We start from the raw sequence: 2,311 nt of genomic DNA on the forward strand, positions 1-2,311 counted from the left end.
CTCAAAGTTGTTTATACTACTACTCTCCCCCATGTTGTTTTGTTCTGTCATTATTGGTGCAAATGCCTGCTTTCCTTGATTAGAGATATAATGTGTGAAGAGTTGATTGATAGTTGCCAACTGTCATTGAGCACTTTGAACATGTGAAGTTAAGTGCTTGATCATAGTTCTCACATCCTCATAACTCCCCTGTGAAATATATGGTGTTTTTTCATATCCGCGTTAAAGAAACTGGGATTTACAATGATGTAACATTGGACAAATTAAGGTCTCAGGACAGGAGGTCACGGAGTGATGAGCCCTGAATTACTCTAGGTGGGTTTAACTCCAAAGCCCATGCCCTTACCCAGGGGAACACACTGCTTCTGAAGATCTCATTCACCATGTTAATGACCACCCCCCCGCCAACCCCACCACGTGCCTCCTAACACTAGGCATGCTCCATGTGTGAATGAGTGAATAGATGACTAATACTTTGTATGCTTAAGGTCATTTACAATTCACAAAACTTGTTGACAGCTATACTTGATTTCCATATGATTTCCCCAACATCTCTGACGCAGCTCCACAGGAAATGTTATCTCCATTTCACAGAGGCTGAGAGAGTTCAGAGTCCTCCAGAAGCTCACATTGCTATTTAGTAACAGGCATAGACAGGACTTCAGCCCACGTGTTCTGCCTTCAAGTTCTGCCAGCCTTTCTTCAAAACCCTCTGTGAGTTTGAAACTCATCAACAATCAGCAAAGGCTCAAAGTGTTATTGTATCTTAATATGTCTTTTTTGTTGTTTTTTTGAGACAGAGTCTTGCTCTGTCGCACAGGCGGGAGTGCAGTGGCGCCATCTCGGCTCACTGCAACCTCCATTTCCTGGGTTCAAGCGATTCTCCAGCCTCAGCCTCCCGAATAGCTGGGATTATGGGCACCCGCCATCATGCCTGGCTAATTCATTTGTGCTTTTAGCAGAGATGGGATAGGGTTTCACCATGTTGGTCAGGCTGTTCCCGAACTCCTGACCTCAAGTTATCCACCCATTTTGGCCTCCCAAAGTGCTGGGATTACAGGCATGAGCCACCGCACCCAGCCTTAAGATACTGTCTTCTAAAACTTGCCCTTTTTATTGTTTAAAAAACATGATGAGGCCGGGCACGGTGGCTCACGCCTGTAATCCCAGCACTTTGGGAGGTGGAGACAGGTGGATCACCTGAGGTCAGGAGTTCGAGACCAGCCTGGCCAATATGGGGAAACCCTATCTCTACTAAAAATACAAAAATTATTTTTATTTTTTGTATTTTTTGAGATTGCAGTGGTGGGCCCCTGTAATCTCAGCTACTCGGGAGGCTGAGGCAGGAGAATTGCTTGAACTCAGAAGGCGGAGGTTGCAGTGAGCCAAGATGGCGCCATTGCACTCCAGCCTGGGCCACAGAGTAGTGAGACTCTGTCTTGGGGTGGGGTGGGGGGAGGGGGCGGCGGGGAAGAAAAAACAACATGATGAGGCTTAAGTGTTTATGTCTAAGGGAGGGGGAGAGGCAATTTAGTCAAGTTTTCAGTGCTTTTAAATAGCCACAGATTTCAATCTTTATCATATTGTTTTTGCCCTAACCCTATTAGGATAACTTGCTTACATTAAACAAAATTCTGAGAATGTTAATTAGCAATTCAGTTATGAATATGCATGATTATTTTTAAGTCCACTAATATTATGCATAGGTCTTATCTGTAATTATATCTAAATGTTCTCTTTTTTTCTCTCCCTCTCTATTTCTCCTTCAGGAAAGCCATTTAAAACACATTTGGGAAATGTCTGAAAAAAGTAATTCTATTACTCTTATTTCCAGAATTTTCTTAAATATTTTATGGCTATAATTTTTTCCTTCTCAAGGCAAAACAGTACATCACCACATACATTATCATATTTGTTGACAAAATATGAGAGTCAAGGAATTAATTTTACACCAGTTAAATAACAGAAGAAAAAGTTATTCTGTATTTTCTTCTTTATTATACTAATTTTCTCACATCCTTAAATGGTTTTATATTTTGTGGCTATCTGCAATTATATTTAAGGGCGAGTATTATACCACCATTTGTTTCACATCCAACTTGGAGCATTTTGTATTTGTGTATACATATAAGGTTAGTCAGGAGTGAGAGATAGGATTAAACTCATCTAGTTTGCGTGCCCTTTCTCAGTCACAATGCAGTCTTTACAAACAATTTTTCCTTTAACAGAAAAACTGAAAACATGTCTAAAAAAATAATTTGCCTTAAGACAACCCTTCTAGGAAATGGCGAAGATCTGTTTCAAACCCAGG

This window comes from Homo sapiens, chromosome 7 (genome assembly GCF_000001405.40).
Source record: "Homo sapiens chromosome 7, GRCh38.p14 Primary Assembly".
In the NCBI taxonomy this organism is placed as follows: Eukaryota; Metazoa; Chordata; class Mammalia; order Primates; family Hominidae; genus Homo; species Homo sapiens.